Source organism: Homo sapiens, chromosome 4 (genome assembly GCF_000001405.40).
Source record: "Homo sapiens chromosome 4, GRCh38.p14 Primary Assembly".
NCBI classification, from domain to species: domain Eukaryota; kingdom Metazoa; phylum Chordata; class Mammalia; order Primates; family Hominidae; genus Homo; species Homo sapiens.
In genome coordinates, this window is record NC_000004.12 from 81806803 (window position 1) to 81825740 (window position 18938).

The 18938-nt window shown below is 38.7% G+C and overlaps 2 annotated features.

Moving 5' to 3' along the window:
* Nucleotides 1434–1728: an enhancer, noted in NCBI's record as "tiled region #4670; K562 Activating DNase matched - State 5:Enh". NCBI's record gives its function as "activates a minimal TATA promoter and a strong SV40 promoter by Sharpr-MPRA in K562 cells {active_cell/tissue: K562}" and the evidence as "EXISTENCE:reporter gene assay evidence [ECO:0000049][PMID:27701403]".
* Nucleotides 1434–1728: a silencer, noted in NCBI's record as "tiled region #4670; HepG2 Repressive non-DNase unmatched - State 24:Quies". NCBI's record gives its function as "represses a minimal TATA promoter and a strong SV40 promoter by Sharpr-MPRA in HepG2 cells {active_cell/tissue: HepG2}" and the evidence as "EXISTENCE:reporter gene assay evidence [ECO:0000049][PMID:27701403]".

Here is an 18938-nt window from a genome sequence, read left to right on the forward strand (position 1 = left end):
ATATGTAGCATGTATGCGGGGTAATTTGCCATGGAGAGGGTAGGTAGATCTGTCTCCCTCTCCAGAGAAGCTACATCCAGAAATGATGTAGATACTCTCATAAGGTCCTGGTCTTTGGGTTCGATGTCATGACTGGATAGTAACTCTATGAGGTGGATACTATTATTATCTCCATTTTAAGAATGAAGAGATGAAGGCTCAGAGAGGTTTAGTAATTTCACCCAGCATTACAGAGCTAATAAGTGCTGGAGGCAGCATTTTATACAGGCAGTTTGGCTGCAGAGTCATCTAGTGGTTATAGAAGAATTGGAAATTTTATCATCTGGTGCTTTAAATAATAATATTATAGATTATGTAACAATTAAATATTAAAATTAACATTACATAATATATTAATATTAATAAATATTACATAACTTATGTTCACCAGTAAATACATAACTAATAACCCCATTTGATGTGTGAAAGTACATCATCATGTTCTTTAGAAGCTTCAAAGATTTTTAAAAATACTTGAGAGCTAGGAGAATCACTGAGGAAATGATCATAAAAAGAAATCTGCCCACCAAGATGAAGAGTGGCCCAGGATTAAGGCCAGAGGAAGAAAGCCAGACGCCCTGGGGTGGATAGGACTAGAAGCTTCACAGCCCTCGTTGCAGTCCTGTGACTTCTTTCCCAGTACAACTCTGTAAGGAAGATGAGCACGTTCTCTGTCCTTTCTGAGTAAACCAAAGCACAACATCCAAAGGGCATCCCTTGCAGCAACAGAAGCAGTGCTTCCTTCTGCATGGAAGCACAACGAGGGCATGCAAAACATTTGCAAACCTACACGATGCTTCCTCTGAGACACCTCGCAACAGCACTTGTAACAACTGAGTCCCAAATCACGTTAAGAGGTAATAAGAGAATACCTCCCTCAAAACACCAGATCACCTTGAAAACACTAGAGAGCCTCAAGATCTCTTCCTACCTGAACAATCTTGAGATTTCCAGAGCTAATGCACAATGACAGGCGCTGATTCAGCAAGGAGTGCCACCTTTGTTAGACACCTTCTCCTTGCTCTAGGTGCTGACTTTCATGGCGCTCCAAAAGAAATGTAAAACAGTACTTTCGTTTTCATCCTTTTTCCACCTCTAGGGCTGCATGGAAGAAAATACTTTGCCAGGAACATCTTTGCAAAGAACACCAAGTGGAAACAGATTCCTCATCAAAAGGACATGGCACCTGTCTTTCCCATGGAGACAGGTGGATGCTTGTGGCAGGATTTGGGGAAGCAGCAGGTCGCTGGCAAGGGCCCTCTGCAGTTCTTTCCACAGGCAACTCTGTTCAGGTGCTTTTGTGGCAAGCTGCCAGCCCAAAGGGCTAATTAATTGAAGGGCTCTCTGTGCTAGAGATATTGGCCATTTTGACATCTCAGTTGGACACTTGAGCTCATGAAGGTTCAGCTTTGGAAGAGCAGCTCTGCCTTTATCACTTTTGATCTCCCCAGTGGGAAAAGCTAAGTGCCCAGAGTTACAATAATCATGTTAAGCACCAGTTTCCTTTGCCAAAAAAACAGTGCACTCGTTTCTTTATCCTTCCCTTGAGGAAAACTCCCACTGAGTCATTTACTGGGTTCTCTGCTTATCTTGCAGTTCTACACCAGCAGCACTATTTTTTTTTTCAACATATGTAGGCAGTCTGCATGGTCTGTGGTTTTAAAAGAGCATTAAATTTAGGCTCAACCCCAAACAGAGCAGGACAGAGCTCAAGACCTTTTGTGACAATATTTAAAGCATTAGCAACTTGGTGACTTATTCCACTCATTTCCATGGGGCAGGCAAGTCTTTAAGAAGACCTCCCTCAAGCCCCTGACTCAGAATATAAATAGTCCACCAAGCAGCCAAAACCTATTCAGTAAACCAGGAATGCATTTAGATGGTGTCCCAGTAAGAGTTTAAATGAAACAGGTAGAACAAGTTAGTGGCTCTCCCAGGGAGGGTTATTCACAACCTTTTCTCTGCTATCAAAGCATTTTATTTATACATTTATTATAGAGTTTACCCTATTGTGATTCATTGATCCAAGTAGCCTCATCTCCCCTAAAGTAAACCATGAGCGCATTTATGACAGGGAGTCATTTGTCTTTTATCTTCCAAATAATCCATGAGAGGCCATCAATATGTATTAATTAATTAATTTATGAAGTCTAGATGAATCCAAACCATCCTCTCAGCCAGAGCCTAAAGAAGATTTGAATAAATTTGGTGTATCTGTGAGGGGTCAGGTGGGGACATGAAAACAACTTATACCTTATTACTTGATGTATTAAATCAAAAACAAAGGAAGAAAGGAAAGAGTGAGTAGAAAAAGCTCAATAGAGAAATGAAGAAAAAGCAAAAAAGAAAGAAAAGAGAAAAAATAAATTGAAGTTATTGAGATGCACAACGTAGAAATTGTAATTGCAAAAATACCTTGTAATAGGTTATATCTATTTTAAAAAGCCAAATGCAGACTCTTTCCCCAACACAATGAACATTTTGTGGTCAAAGCCACAGTAACAGTGAAACGATAAAATGCTAAATCTTTTTGTTAATACTTGAAATTAATGTTTTTAAGCAACTACAATCTCCATAAATATAAGCAGGCTTCTGGCGTCACACTAAATTTGCCTAATCTGACACTTATCTTTGCTTGAGCTAAGTAGAAATATAAAACTTAAACTATCAAAAACAGTTTACATAAGAATTTGGTAATAGGTTCAGAGCTTGTCCAAAATGAGGGTAGAACTTAAGGATCTCTGGAGGCTTCAACTTTACAAAATGTCACAAAATATGCCTCTAGCTGCCCAGACTTTTAAAATAAAATAGTAAAATTAAAAATGCTTTTGTGACTTTAGGGTATGTCCTGAAATCCTCCACCTTTTTGATACTGTTATTGTTACTGACAGAATTAAGAAAAGGCAACACGAAATATAGCCCAAGCGGGAAACATCACATACAGTTCAGAGTATACTTTTGCCAATGCATTTTACTGGAGTCAGATAACACTTTTAAAATATCATTACTTAATCTAACAGGGCCCGCCCATTTTCTATACATATTTCAGCAACCCCATATTCTCAAAACACTTTGCAATTGCCCATTACCCAATTTATTATCAATATTTGAAGACCAACAGTATGCAAAATGTGATATATGTTAAATACTTTGCATGCTTTTCCATAACAAAGGCCCAGTCTCTATGGGAGCTTTGTAAGACAGTATATTGAAATGGCACACATGGAGCTCTATAAAATACTGTATATTTTTCTTCAAAAATTGTTTTCAGTCCGGGTGTGGTGGCTTACACTTGTAATCCCAACACTTTGGGAGTTGGGTGGGTCATTTGAGACCAGGAGTTTGGAGACCAGCCTGGCCAACATGGTGAAATGTCGTCACTAAAAATACAAAAAATTAGCCAGGTGTGGTGACACACACCTGTAATCCAAGCTAGTCAGGAGGCTAAGGCAGGAGAATCACTTGAACCCAGGAGGCAGAGGTTGCAGCAAGCTGAGATCGCGCCCCTGCACTCCAGCCTGGTGACAGAGTGAGACTGTCTCAAAAAAAAAAAAAAAAAAAACTCCAGGCAAAATGCACGACCTAACAAAATAAAATAATGCCATGATAGGCAAAAATCTCAGCCCTCACCACTTTCACCAGATTCAGCCATAAAGTTGGACATTTGGTTTCTAATAAGCAAATCCCATCTCACAATACCAGGCACTTCCTTCAATCTGCCTGAGCAAAAGAAAAAAGAAAAGGGACTAACCTGAGCAAACCTCTCCCAGGCGGTGTTTGATTCAATTCCTGCCACATAACATATATTTCAAAATGAATTAATAAGTAATATTAATATAATTAATGAGTATTCACTAATGAGTTGATCAATAAGCAATGAAGAGCTCTCATATTGACTTGGAATGCTATTAACCATAAGTGAAAACTACTTTTGTTACCCTCTTGTGTTCTTTACAAGTGGTTAAAAAAATAACGTGAACTCTGGAGTCAGACAGACTAGATTTGAATCTGGGCAGTCTGCATCTGCCTACCGAGTGACCTTTAACAGGTTAATTAACCTCTTTGTGCCCCCATTCCATTATCTGAAAATAAAGATGGGAACAGAACATGCCTCATAAGGCTGTTGCAAGTATGAAATATATTAATCCCTAAAAAGAGTCTATTACAGTCACTGACACATAATAAACCTTCAATAAATGTTAGCCTTTATTATTTTTATCCACCCAGCCACACTGGCCTCCTTACTCTTCTGTATATGCCCCAGGCACATTCTGGTCTTAGTGTTTTGCACTGGTTGTTCCCACTGCCTGGAGTGCTCTTCCTCCAAAGATCTGTGTAACTAGCTCTCCATCCCATTTGACCAAATGATACCTTCTCAATGACCACCCTATTTAAAACTGTAACATGTGCCTCCCCAAGAGCCTCCAAATCTCCTATTTTTTCTCTTCACATTCTAAGATACTATGTAATTAATTAATTTGTGTTTTGTATATTATGTCTCACCTGCCAATAGAATATATTCTGAGGTGAAAGGATTTTTTTTTTATCTCTTTTAGTCACTGATGTGAACTGGTACTTGAACACAGTAGCTCCTCAAAAAATATACACTGAAAGCCAGCTCGGTGACATGCATGTAGACTCAGCTACTCAGGAGGCTGAGACTGGAGGATGGCTTGAGCCAAGGAGTCTGAGGCCAGCCTGGGCAACATACTCCATCTCTTAAACACACACACACACACACACACACACACACACTCACACACACACCCTGCTAAAGGAATTACTGGCACTACTGTTACCACCACCACTATTTTCCATCATAGCAAGTAATGAAACCATAGAGTTTTAGAACTAGACATGACCACAGAGGTCAACTCTATGGAGTTGGACAACTCCTTTTGTAAACACAGAAATAGCCCTCTCCCTGAAACACTGCATCCTGTTGACTCTGCCTTACCTGAGCCTGCAAGAGAATTCACAGGACCAGGTGCACAGTCCGTGGCAGGTAAGTCTGGGTCTCATGGTGCACCCACCATACTGGCTGCTTAGTCTAACAGCTCTGAGGTCACCATTACATAGCTGTTCTATCTAGTGATTAACATGAGCAATGATTTAGGAGATTATAGCAATCATCAAAGGGTGGAATTAAAATAATAAAGAAAAACAATAAACAGGAGGAGAAAAGGAGGGATTGCTTTTGCTCCACAGATCATTTATGTAAATAAAAGAAAAATCACAGCGCTAAGCCACTAAATCAGAGGTTGCAATTAGCTCAATTGTAGAGTGATTTGGTGCCATTTTGAGCAACAATAGCCAGAGTGATCACTCTTAACTGAGGTAAATTAAGTATTCTGATTACTCCACTTTTATGAAAAAGAGTTGCCGGCCATTACAGAGATCTAATTTACACGAACTCTGCTCCATTTCTCATACTGACTCATCTTTTACGTTTTTTTCTGCTTCTTTTCACATCTAGCACATTTTGCTGTAGACTAAGAAAATAAGGGTTCTGCATCCACAGATTCCATCAACAGTAGATTGAAAACACAGTATTTGAGGGATGTAGAACCCCTGGATTCTAAAGATCAATTTTCATAGCCATGGTTTCCTCAGGGTGGACTGTGGAACTTGAACCTCAGTGAATTTTGATATCTACAGAGGTCCTGCAACCAATACTGAGGAATGACTGTATCTCTATGAAAGCTCACCCTCCAGAATACATTATGTAAAATTAAATGCATGCATGTGTATACGTGCACATACTTTAATAACTACTGCCCAGTCTTGATTATGTAAGATTCTGGAAAATCTGAAAGGAAAATAGGTAAAAGGAAGGAGAAAAAGTTGCTACAGTGCCCTTGAAGCTCAATAATATAGCAACCAAGCAGAAAAACTCTAGAATCACAAGGGAAAGACAATTTACAGCCAAAAGCACACCATAATATCTTTAGTACTTAACAAAGAAATGAGTGAAATCAAGTTAGTGATTACACAGCTGAACTTGGTAGTTTGCAGCATTTGCTCACAACAACAACAAAAAAAAATGCAAGAAAAAGTACTATTATTAAATGCCCTTTGCATGCACAGTTTGCAAGATTAGCAAGACTCTTATTTCTGTTCCCCCTTTAAACTATTTGGCTGTCTGGAATTGCTATGAGAAAAACCTGTGTTTTATTGGTAGCTTAAAATAGCTTTTTTAAGGTGTATGTGTGGGGAAGGGGGGGTTGTACTGCTAATTATTACTGTTTCCAATATATCCCTGAACCAGAGACTACAAAGGTCATATTCTTGAAACTTGTTTTCAGGCAGATGCAGCCACAATAATTACAGCTCAAAGAGGATAAGAGCAACATATTCCATGACATTTGCCCTTAACTACCTTTCTTATTAGCAATGATACTGCTACAGACAATGACTATATTATACATCCATGTATCTAAATGTGCTGTTTATTCTGAAGTGACAGTGACAATTATAGCAGCTGCCAGGAAGGAATAATGGGTATACTCCAGCATTGGCAGTGGTGTGGTTAGCAGTAATGCCAATTCACAAAAAATCCCACACCCCAAAAGGCACCAGGTAATGCTACTGATGTGATTCTATTGCTAAAATTTAAAAATTGAAGTCATTAAACTGTACACTTAAGATCACTACATTTTACTGAATGTAAATTATACCTTAACAAAATATGATTATTATTTATTTCTTGATTCTGGCTTAGGGTAAGTGTTACACATAAAAACGCAATGCATTTCTTCTGGCCATGAGACTATTTTCCACAATGAATTCTAATCCTATGAACTATGACTACTTGGTTTGACCTTGGGTATATGTGACTTTCCATATGAAAATTTCATTATCATACGCTTAAGAATAAAAAATTCCTAGCCTAGAGATGTAATGCTATCACACGGAGGAACTCACCAGTATTCACTCTACTCAATTATCTCCATGGCTTCTACACTGCAAGCAAAAAAGTGCACATTTCCATAGCACTTCATATTCATCAGCCCAAACCATCCATATGTTGAAATGCTTCCTTTCAATCCAAAGAAAAGCCCACAAATACACTCCACCCACAGTATTGACTCTACCTAGCCCATACCACATTAATAAATGACACCTCCTCTAAAATATTATAATGCTAATGGTGAAAAGAGATGAACATTTAGAAAAAGCAATGGATATTTATATGAGGGAGAGGAATATTTTGTATTTTATTCTGTACCTCTAAGCAGGTAATAAGGTACTTTTTTCCTACCTGTGAATGTTCCAGGTGCTGGCATATGAAGACATACCAAGAGGGGACTCTTCCCCTTCCTTTCTTTTCTACCTCAAGCCTTACTCTGGAGGCCTTTGGAGAAATAATATCATGCCAAAGTTAGGAATTAACAAGCATTATTGAATGTCTACTATGTGCTCATAATTGTGTTAGGTGTTGGAGATACAGAAAAGTAGATTCATTGTACAGTACTGTTTAGAAGGTTTTATGCTTCATTTATTAAGAAATGCATTGCTTCTATAGAACTAGAACTTATAACAAAACTGAACTTGAGTCTATTTCAATTATTAAGAATTATCTTAAGATTTAAAGAACCATCTGAGGGTATTTATCCAGTGCAACTACAGTCCAAGTTTTTTCCAAATGCTAATGTTGGCCCAAGTCTACTGATGTACTTTCCTTGATATTGTTGCTCTGTTAGAGCAAAAAGATAAAGTTGGTCTCAAAGCTACCAAGGCTCAGACCATTCTCTGTGAGCGCAGGGATGAAATAATAATGACGAACACCCACTGAGACACTGTTGTAAGAGTTTTCCATGGATCCAAACAGAAATTCAATCCTTACAACAATTCTGTAGGTCAATATCATTCTTTGTCTCATTTTACTGATGAAACAAGTGAGGAACAAAGAAGCTAAGTAACATGGCTAGAGTTGTAGAGCTCATGGGTGGTAGAATCTCAGAAATAAAGCCCTCAAGCCTGTGTTCTTAACCCCCACACCATACTGCCTCTCAGGAGAGCAGGATGGAAAAATGCAACAATAAAAACCAAAGCCGGGCAATAAGGCCTGAAAGGAGAGGACATGGAATCCAGAACCACAAATCCTTTTCCCAAACACTGCTAGGAGCTCTTTCTTTGCAGAAACAGTGACAGGAGAAGAGGGAGGAAAGGAGGGATGTGGCGGGGGTGAAGGGAGGGGAGAAGAGTATAGCAACTCCCTTCTCTTAACAGTGATGCAACTTCCCTTCCCATAAATTAGTGGCCTGTATTGGCACATATGAAAAAAGATAGGAACTTTGCAATGTGTATCTAACATCCTGTATCCAGCAGAGAGCCCTACAGCAAGTCAGCAAAAACAGCACTCTGCCAAAAATGAATGTTCACTGCTTCCAAAAATCTATTTTAGAAGTAAACAGTGTTTAAATTTGCTGGAAATGATATTCTTTGCTGTGACTGCTCCAGAACATGGCATTCTGTCATACCAGAGGAGAACTGAGGAATTTCCTCCCGCTGACACGGCTGACTTTGTCTTCATGCCTTTTCTCAGGGCATGGGAAGAAGTCCCTGTGACCTACCAGCCTGAAAATTCTGCCAAGAGGCTGAGAGTCATGGGAATCTGCCCAACCAGCTTTGTGGAGGTCACTGAACACCATCTAGACATTAAAAGAGGAAGCCAGACACAATATAGTTTCAAAGGACTGTGACAGTAAATGTCTTAACCACTGATATTATTACCTTGAGTTGTGATTACCTAGAGACCTATTCATCAACATTGATGAAAAGGTTGAGTCTTCCAATAGCCCATTACATTCTCTATTCTTAGTTACCTCTTCCTGAAGGAAAATTGTCCATGTGAATGAAGCATTACTGATGTCTAGTAAAAATGAAAACTTCATCCAGTGGGCAACGGACCACATGGGCACATTCTCCGCACACTTACACACTCACATCATTAGTAACAGGAAAGGGAACCCAAGTCAAAGCCAACATTTGAAAGGAAGAGATAACACAGCCACCAATAATGCCATTACAGTGGCCAACAGATTTTCTTTAGGAAATCCCAGATATTCTAAAACCAACACTCTTTTACACGATAGGAATACGTTTTCTAAATACTGTCTTTAAATTATTTTTAAAAATCGTCTTTTAAATGAAATTTTTAAGCTATTTTTTAAAAGTTGTCATTTATATGGATTAAGATATCAGAAGTTCACAGAGAGAGAGCAGGGGAAGACACAGAGAGAAACAGAGTCCCCTCCCCCACCAAAAAGGTAAAATAAACCATCAAAATGGTAGCTGAAGTTTAAAAATAAGATTCCAACCTCAGGAACCTATTTCTATGACTACATACAGGGACTCCAGATGGAATTCTAGGTTACCATATGTAGACAGAAATTACAGCAGGATGAAGCACAGCATTTTGATGCCAAACTGGAAACACCACTATTTTTTTCATTTCAAGTAATTTGTGAAACAGACATCCCTAAACTTTAATCCATCCCTGGGATTCATCCTTTCCATGACCCTCACCCCATCTATCACACTTACCTGTCTATCACTCCTATCCTACCTCTAAAATATGCCCTAGGGGTGGGAGTCACAAGACCTCGGAGAAGGGGTGAGGATATCCTTTTTGCACCTTCTCTGTACTTTCAAATAATTAAAACATTGGAGGTTCAACAGTGCTATGTCAGAATGTTCCTGCACAAAAATTGCTGAGTCAAAATAACTGGGTCCAAAAGTCCCGCACCAAGAGATGTAAAAATATCAAGATACAAAGATATAAACATCAGTAACATAAAACAGGAGGCATGAGACACTATGGAGCAGACTTGAGGAGCAATCTCTGGTGCTCATCAACGCAACACACATCTTCTAGATGTGAGTTTTAGTTAAACAGCATAGGATGCAGAGGTTGTACAGGGAATAAATGAGAAAATAGGAATTAGGCTTATCCTCTAAGAGTCTGACTAAAGCTTATTATGTGCCCTGGAATAAGTCATTTCATGTTTCAGCACATTAGTTTTTTCCTCTGCAACATGTTAACAATAACGACTGTCTTGTAATGGGAGGCACTTAATAAATAATTATTAATGAATGAGTAAATTCATGTATGTCCCCTAGATGTTCCTAGGTTTTCCAAATTAAGGAATAAACTGGTCTTTGACTGAAAATAACAACAAGGGTTCTTATAACTCTCTAAAGTGGTGTTTGGAGGCAGGCCTTGGGGATTTGCTACCTCAGGCCAAACAAAACACTTCAATCTCCCCAGCTATCCATTAACACCTTATTTCAGTGTGGAAATTCCCTTCACGAGTAAATGCTGAGTATAAATAGTCTTTTCTCAACTCCTAGGAAAAGGGAAAAAAAGATTTTTCTAATAACAAACAAAATGATATTAGAATAATCTCATACTAATTGATAATCAAGTATATAGCAAGATTGTTTCTAATAACAAAATGATATTAGAATAATCTCATACCAATTGATAATCATGTATATAGCAGGATTGTTTCTAATAACAAACAAAATGATATTAGAATAATCGCACACCAATTGATAATCATGTGTATAGCAAATCCATTCATTAAATAAATGTTTACTGAGTTCTTACTACCTGTGAGGTATTGTTTTACTATACCTAACAGAATCAGTCATTGTTCCTTTCCTCTAAGAGCTGATTTTAGGGGGAAGCCAGATCCATAAATATTTAAAATCCAAAGGGGAAAGGAGGTAGCAAAACACTAAAAGCAATGTTTCTGGCGTCAGACTGCCTGGATTCACATCATGGCTCCAACACTTAATACTGGAGTGTCCTCAAGCAAGTTCCATAATGTTTGAAGGTCCCAACTGCTTTATCTGTAAAATGGTAATAGTAATTGCCTACCTTAAAGGGTTGTTAGAAAAATCAAATTAAATAGTCCATGTAAAGCACTTCTCACAGGGCTGGGGATGTGGTAAACTTTAGACAAAGTGTGTGATTGTTGTTAGATGTTATATTAAGTACAAAATATTACGAATCCAGTAGGTAAAACCTCTCATCTTTACTGGAGAAATCGAGATAGTCTTTGAAAAGAAAGAGACAATATAAGGGACCTCTCCAGGAAAGTGTAAAAGTTTTCCAGACAGACCAGAGGGAGAGGAAAGCATTCCAGAAAAAAGAAAAAGTTTGTACACCAGGCACAGTTATCCAAGATTTTCACGTTCAGGAGCAGTCTGCTCAAGGCCTTTAGACTCCAGCTTCCAGGGCAGTACCAGGAGATGCGGGTGGAGAGAATGGGAATGACTTCTCAAGTTGAGTTGAGACTGGAGACAACAGGAATGGTAATGACTTCTCAAGAGGAGTTGGGATTTATTTTGAATAAAATTGAAATCCCTCAGGTGTTTCTTAAGTACAGGTTTGTGAACCCAGAAAATCTGAGACAGGTCTCCGTTAACTTAGAAAGTTTATTTTCCTGAGGTTGAGGATGCATGCCTGTGACCCAGCCTCAGGAAGTCCTAAGGACCTGTGCCCAAGGTGGTTGGGATGCAGCCTGGTTTTATACATGTCAGGGAGACATGTGACATCAATCAAGTACATTTAAGAAATACATTGGTTTGAAAGGCGGGACAACTCAAGGGGTGGCAGGGCTTCCAGGCTACAGATAAATTTAAACATTTTCTGACTGACAATTGGTTGAGTTTGTCTAAAGACCTGGGATCAATAGAAAGGAATGTTTGCGTTGCGATAAGAGGTGGGGGAGACCAAAGTTTTATCACGCAGATGAAGCTTTTAGCTAACAGGCTTCAGAGCGAACAGGCTGTAAAATATTTCTGATCAGACTTAAAGTCTGTGTTGACGTTAATGCTGGAGAGGTATAATGAGGCATGTCCCACCCCAGTTCCCTTCATGGCCCGAACCAGTCTTTCAGGTTAAGTTTTAAGAGCTCTGGCTGAGGAGGAAGTCCCTTTAGATGATTGGGGGACCTTAGAATTTTATTTTTGGTTTACAGATTTGACATAAACGGATGTGTTTGTTTGTAGTTTATTTGTTTTCCAGAAAGTAACTTTCATAGTGTTTTGAAAAATGGAGTGGATATGGGAAACGTGGTATAAGAAAAGAGTGAGAAGGGAGTTGTTGGAAACTTCTAAAGGAGAGATGAGGAGGAAAGGGAAGAAATGACAGGAAGATCCCAGGAATGTTTCACAATGGAATTTACGGGATTTGACAGTTAGTTGGATGTGAGAAGTAAAAGAAAGGGAGAAACCAGGGATAATATTAAAGTATGGTGAAGCTGGCTGGGCACGGTGTCTCACGCCTGTAATCCCAGCACTTTGGGAAGCTGAGGCGGGTGGATCACGAGGTCAAGAGATCGAGACCATCCTGGCTAACACGGTGAAACCCCGTCTCTACTAAAAATACAAAAAATTAGCCGGGTGTGGTGGCAGGTGCCTGTAGTCCCAGCCACTCGGGAGCCTGAGGCAGGAGAATGGCGTGAACCCGGGAGGCAGAGCTTGCAGTGAGCCAAGATCGCGCCACTGCACTCCAGCCTGGGTGACAGAGCGAGACTCCGTCTCAAAAAAAAAAGTGTGGTGAAGCCATTAACCAAGGTGGTGAATATAAGAGAAGAATGTTCAGAATGTAGAAAAAATTCATGTACATTGGACACGGTCTGTGGACCGTGGAAAAGACCTCTAGTTAGTCAGCAGCATGGATCCTTGGCTCAGAAGATATTTCATTATTTGTGACACAGACTCTAGAATAATTTTCTTAAGATAGATCTCATTTGAACAAACTAGATTGCCCAGAGATTGCTGATTATGTGAATGGTGCTATCCATATAAAATATTATGGGGGAGTAGCTGTAGACTAAATAAATACTGTGAAAATAGTGTAACTTGACATTAATATTTACCAATGTCCCTCTTGATTTTTCTGCCTATAAAATAGAAAAAATAGTATTTGTGTAAATAACTTTAAACATTTCGTTTTTAAACGTTCTACCTCATGAATGGATAACATAGTTGTGCAGACTCAAAAGAGGTTGAACAATAATCCCACTTCCCTGCAAAAAAAAAAAAAAAGATAAATTGATCAGAGTCATCTGATGGTATGGCCACATTTTGGCTCCCTGCTTCCATAACTCTTTTTTTTTTTTTTTTTTTTTTTTGAGATGGTGTCTCGTTCTGTCACCCAGGCTGGAGTGCAGCAGCCCAATCTTGGCTCACTGCAACCTCTGCCTACTGGGTTCAAGCAATTCTCCTGCCTCAGCCTCCCGAGTAGCTGGGACTACAGGCACGTGCCACCACACCCTGCTAATTTTTTTCTATTTTTAGTAGAGATGGGGTTTCTCCGTGTTAGCCAGGATGGGCTCCATCTCCTGACTTCGTGATCCGCTCGCCTCGGCCTCCCAAAGTGCTGGGATTACAGGCATGAGCCACAGCGCCCAGCCTTCCATATTAACACATGAATTCTATCCCTTCTTCCTTCCTTCCTATTGCAGGGCAAGATGTGTCCCTCCATCCAAGGGATAATTCCATGCTTTAGGATCCAAAGTCTTCAATCCTTTCAATGATGTCACTCAGAGAATATTCCCCACCTTCTTTGTGGATCCTTACCCCTTTCCCTTCCTATTGTTTTCTTTCTTACAGCATTTAAACACACTCTAATGCCTCATTGTAAGATACCATATCTCAACCCATAACCCTACCCAACTACTCAATTCTCTCCTTCCTCTTGCAACAAATTGCTTTTAGAAGACTCTATTTTACCATTTTTATTTCTTTATCCCTACTAAGTCCATCTTGCCCTGCAATAGGAAGGAAGGAAGAAGGGATAGAATTCATGTGAGTAAGAATTGTCAAAGCAGGGAGACTTTTTATTTCTTTATCCCAGCTAAGTCCCAGTCCCACTACAATCTGGCTTCTGTGTCCATCACTTCGATCTCAATAAAACCAAAAAGCCTATGGTATTAAGAAAGCCAACGGATACTTTTCAGTCTTTATTTTACTTAATCACTTAGCAACAGTTTTGATATTTACGACTACCTCTTTTTTTTATAGATAATGTTTTATTGACTTGATTTCTCAGACATCACATTCTTCTGGTGTCTTCCAACCTCCGTGGCCTCTCAGTTTCCCTCTTCCCTCCAAAATCCATAGTCTTCTCCCAGCTCTTACATGTTAACTTTCCTCAAGACTCTTGAAAACCCTCCTCCTTTTTGCCTTACACACCATCTCTGGGTAATCTCATCCATTCCCACTCTTATAATCATTCTCTCTATGCATATTCCTCTCATATCCATATATCCAGCTCAGAATGCTTTCCTCAATTATAAATCAAAATGTCCAGCTGTCTGCTAGTCATCCTTACTAGATCTTACACATACCACCAAAATGACATATACCATTGTGAACTCATCAACTTCTTCCCTAAATATGGTCCTCTGCTAGTGGTTCCTGTCTCAGAAAATAGCACCAATATTCTGACACTAGCCGATGTCAGAAATCTAAGAATTGTCCTTAGCTGCTTCCTTTCCCATAACCAAACTATCATATACTGTTGATTTTGAGAAATACTCAAATGTTTCTTGATTCCCCTCTGCCATTATTCTGATCCTGGCCACTATTATCTCTTGCCTAGATTATAGCAGTAGCCTTATAATTAGACTTCACATCTAAATCCTGCTTCTTCTGTCCTTCAGTAACCAAGTGATCTTAAAAATCATATCATGGCACATACACCGACTTTCCCAAATTCAAGCCCTTTAAAAATTTCTCATTACCCTGAGAATAATTTAAACTCTTAATATAGTTGTACCAGGACCTCATTGCTCATCTTTTCCAATTCAAGTTGTCATTTTTCAGGCACTCTGAATTTTGTATAGTTCTCCCCCTCACCTATAGACATTCACACCTGCTGTTCTGCCACCATGTTGTGCTCATGGAGCCAAATCTCATTCATTCTTTGGATCTCTGCTTGAACATCATTTCTTCAGGGAAATTTTCCCTGACGCCTTGATTAGGTTAGGTTCTCCTGGCATGGGATCCCATGAGCTCTCAACTTAAAAAAAATTATATCATCAATCACAATTTTGCTAATTACTTTATTAATATCTATAAGTTCTATGAGGGTAAAGATCATACATATGTGATTTGTTCATCATGACAGTCCAATGCATGTCACATAGCAGATGTTCTGTGAACACTTGTTAACTGATTAGATGGATAAAATTGAAGTCATAGAAATTGACTATGCTATGTTGATTTGTGCATGACATTGAACTGGGAGAAATAGTGAATAAGCCTAATAACAGAATTGGATAATTCAGAAAATTAATTGATCAAAATTTTTAAAAACCAGTAGGAATAGCTAAATGTCCTATCTTCATATTCAAGGAATCATTTACATAAATATAAAAGAAAGTCCTGTTTTAACAGCAGCTCATGTGAAAATGCCTTAAGGCCACGCACAAGACTTCAAACTTCACATAGCCAACAGAAAGATATGGCTCATAAGTAGAAACTGATGCCATCTTACACTGTAGTGGTGCTACACTTAAGAAAACCTGTAGCTTGCCTTCACATCATAGCCCACACCTTATAACATACCTGGCATACACCAGGTGTGTAAACAAAGCTTGCTGAATGTAGAGTGAGAAGTCCCGTGATGCTTTCTGCCAGACAGACCACATCTGGAGATGACACACAATTCTTGACATCAATAACAAAGATTGTGTGAGCCAAAAAAAAAAAAAAAAGGATAATCTTGTCTAGAAGCAATAATAATAATAGCTAATACAGCATTCACTATGTGTTGGGTAATTTTGTAATCATTTTATATGTATGAATTCTTATACTATATAAGATAGGCACAATTATTATGCCCATTTTACAGATGATAAAAGTAAGGAACCAGTAGGTTATACAATCAACCCAAAATCACATAAGTAGTGAGGAGCAGAGCCAGGTTTCAAAACCAGAAAACATGATCTCATAGTCCATGCTCTTGGAAATCAATCATATCAATGTCCCATTGAAATGAAAAAGGAAAATTGTTAGCCTGGAGATGGGGTAGAAAGGAGATTCAGAAAAACATATTAACTGGCTTCATACTTAAATATCTAGGAAGGAATCTAAAGGAGACAGCTATTGGCTCAGTAGAATAAAGAACTTGCTAACACTGTGGATTGTCTCCCTAGTGCACATTAGTGTGCCTGACACATAGGCTCACTGGGTTCCCTGACAATAGAATATCCAGTTAAGAGATAGAGGTCCATCTATAAATGATATCAGTGGCAGTCCCACCCCAGTAAAAAGGTGAGACTAGAAGTCCCATAGAAGTGCTTCTCATTCTCTAAGATCTATAATTCTTCTTTTTTTTTTTTTTTTTTTTTTTGAGACGGAGTCTCACTCACTCTGTCGTCCAGGCTGGAGTGCAGTGGCGCAATCTCAGCTCACTGCAACCTCCACCACCTGGGTTCAAGCAATTCTCCTGCCTCAGCCCCCTGAGTAGCTGAGATTACAGGCGCACATCACCACACCTCACTAATGTTTGTATTTTTTTGAATAGAGATGGGGTTTCACCATGTTGGTCAGGCTGGTCTTGAACTCCTGACCTCGTGATCCACCCACTTCGGCCTCCCAAACTGCTGGGATTATAGGCATGAGCCACCACACCTAGCCAAGATCTATAATTCTAAAAATAATACATGGTCTTCATTCTCAGGCAGCATACAACTCAATGCAGAGAACAAGACAAATATAGCATAATTCAGTGAAGATGGAGATGTAATAAAATAGATTTTAAAATTATCAAAATAATTAAATGAATGGTACTTAGAGCAGTAGGCCCTCACACCACCTTTAAAGGTAAGTAACTCTGCTACCTACTTCCATATCAAGCAACATTAGAAATAGAAGCGGCACAGCAGACAATGCCATAATATAAAATCTTAAGAAATGCCAAGGAATTATATATTATGCACAGGTCAACTCTATATGCAGCTGGTTTTCTGTATCAATAGATAGTGTCAAAGAATTTGAGTTGTTTGGACTATGAAGCCACTTCTCTTCCCCCCAAAAGGAGAATATCTAGCTAAATCTGAGATTAAAGAGGTGGATAAATGTGACCCCTGGCCTGCAAAAGCCAGGAATTAGACACAAGACTATAGCAGGGAGTCTTCAAAGTTGATCTATCACAGGGATGTCTTCCATCAGATGCTAGTGAAGCTAATCCTTTTGCAAAGCATGACAACTTCTCAAGCTTGACTGTGGTGAATCCAAACCAGATTTTTATGCTATATGATCAGCTTTCAAAATACAAAATTATTTTTACATTATATTAGGTTTACATTTATTATATTTAAATTTACAAACAAAGATATAGAAGCCTGCAATGCAGTTTATACAGCATTCTCTGAACTCCCCTGATGCTCATCTGCCAGGATAAAGTATCAGATAATAGTGAGATGTAAATATATGGAACCAGAGCTTCTCTATAACAAAATACTGTCAAATAATGGAGTTTCCCACATCCTTAAAGTAAACCATTCACATTTCCATCTCTAAAGAAAGAGAGCCATAATATTCCATCAGAACATCCTCACTGATATCGCAGCTTTTCATTCGAATATCACCAACTCTGAAGCCTTTATTACTCTGACAGTATGCTGGAATTCTTGGATGCTGACTTACCTTTTTGCAGTCAGATAAGGACTTCTCACTGGCCAATGTGCTGAAAATGGTGGTCTACAAAATAGGAAGATGGAAAACACTTTAGAATTGTTAACATATAATGATAGTGACCATTCCATGTTCATTTCCAATCCAAGGTAGGCACTACCTAACTGTGTCCCCTACTGATTTCTGTGAATTTTAAAATGTGTCTGCCTTCACTATTCCCAAAGCTTCTCTACCCAAGCTGGAACGTTCATTATGGGCCAAGAACCATTCAGTGAGGTAAGGATTCTGTTATCTTCATTTTACAAACAAGGTAACGAACGCACAATTAGGTTAATTGCTATATACCTTGGACATAGTTAGGTCAGGAAGCAAAGCCATCTAACTCCAGAACCCACCTCCAAACACATATGATCTTCTGTCTTAAAGAGATATGTGCATAATGTTAGAGTCAGCTATGCCCAATCTTTCAAATGACAGCTGTTATGAGCCCAAGTGGGAGAATGGAGCTTCTGCCTATGTAAGAGATTTGTGAGTCTGAACAATACCAGGGCTTGCTATCTCCTTTCTACTATCTTTAATGCACTCACTCTCCCTGTAGTTGACCTCTCACACATTTGTATGTATACTTGCTTGGCCTGATGAACCACTCAAAAGGCACTGCAACATTCAAGGCTATATTGGGATTTACATGCAAGTATGTTCCCTTTGGACAATCCTATGAATAAATACATAGCCATGGTCAGCCATACAAACAGTATTGAGATTTTTTTCAGTAAACTTTTTTACATTTTCTTTAATTATAAAACTAATATTTATTCTTAATGAGTTAGTCTCTTTTATACCCTATCCTCCTGAGGTAACCCATAATACAAATTTGTATTCATCTTTCCACACTTTCTCTATTCCCACGCAAATATGTCTGCGCATATTATATAGAAGTCTCGTTCTTATGATCATACCATCTTAATTAAGAATATATTATCAACATCTTTCCAGTTCAGCCCATGCAGATTAATTCATTCTTCTTAATACCTATATAACATGTCATAATATGAATATATCATAATTTTATGCTTTCCTTTATTGATCAACAGGTTTTGGTTCTTTCATTGTTGTTGCTTCTTGTTTTCTTTTGTTTGCTATTACAAAGTATGCTGCAATAAACATGCTTGTATATGGCTGGAAAATCTAGTGTATATAAACTGTCTCCTACTCTCTGCTCTTTTAACATCATA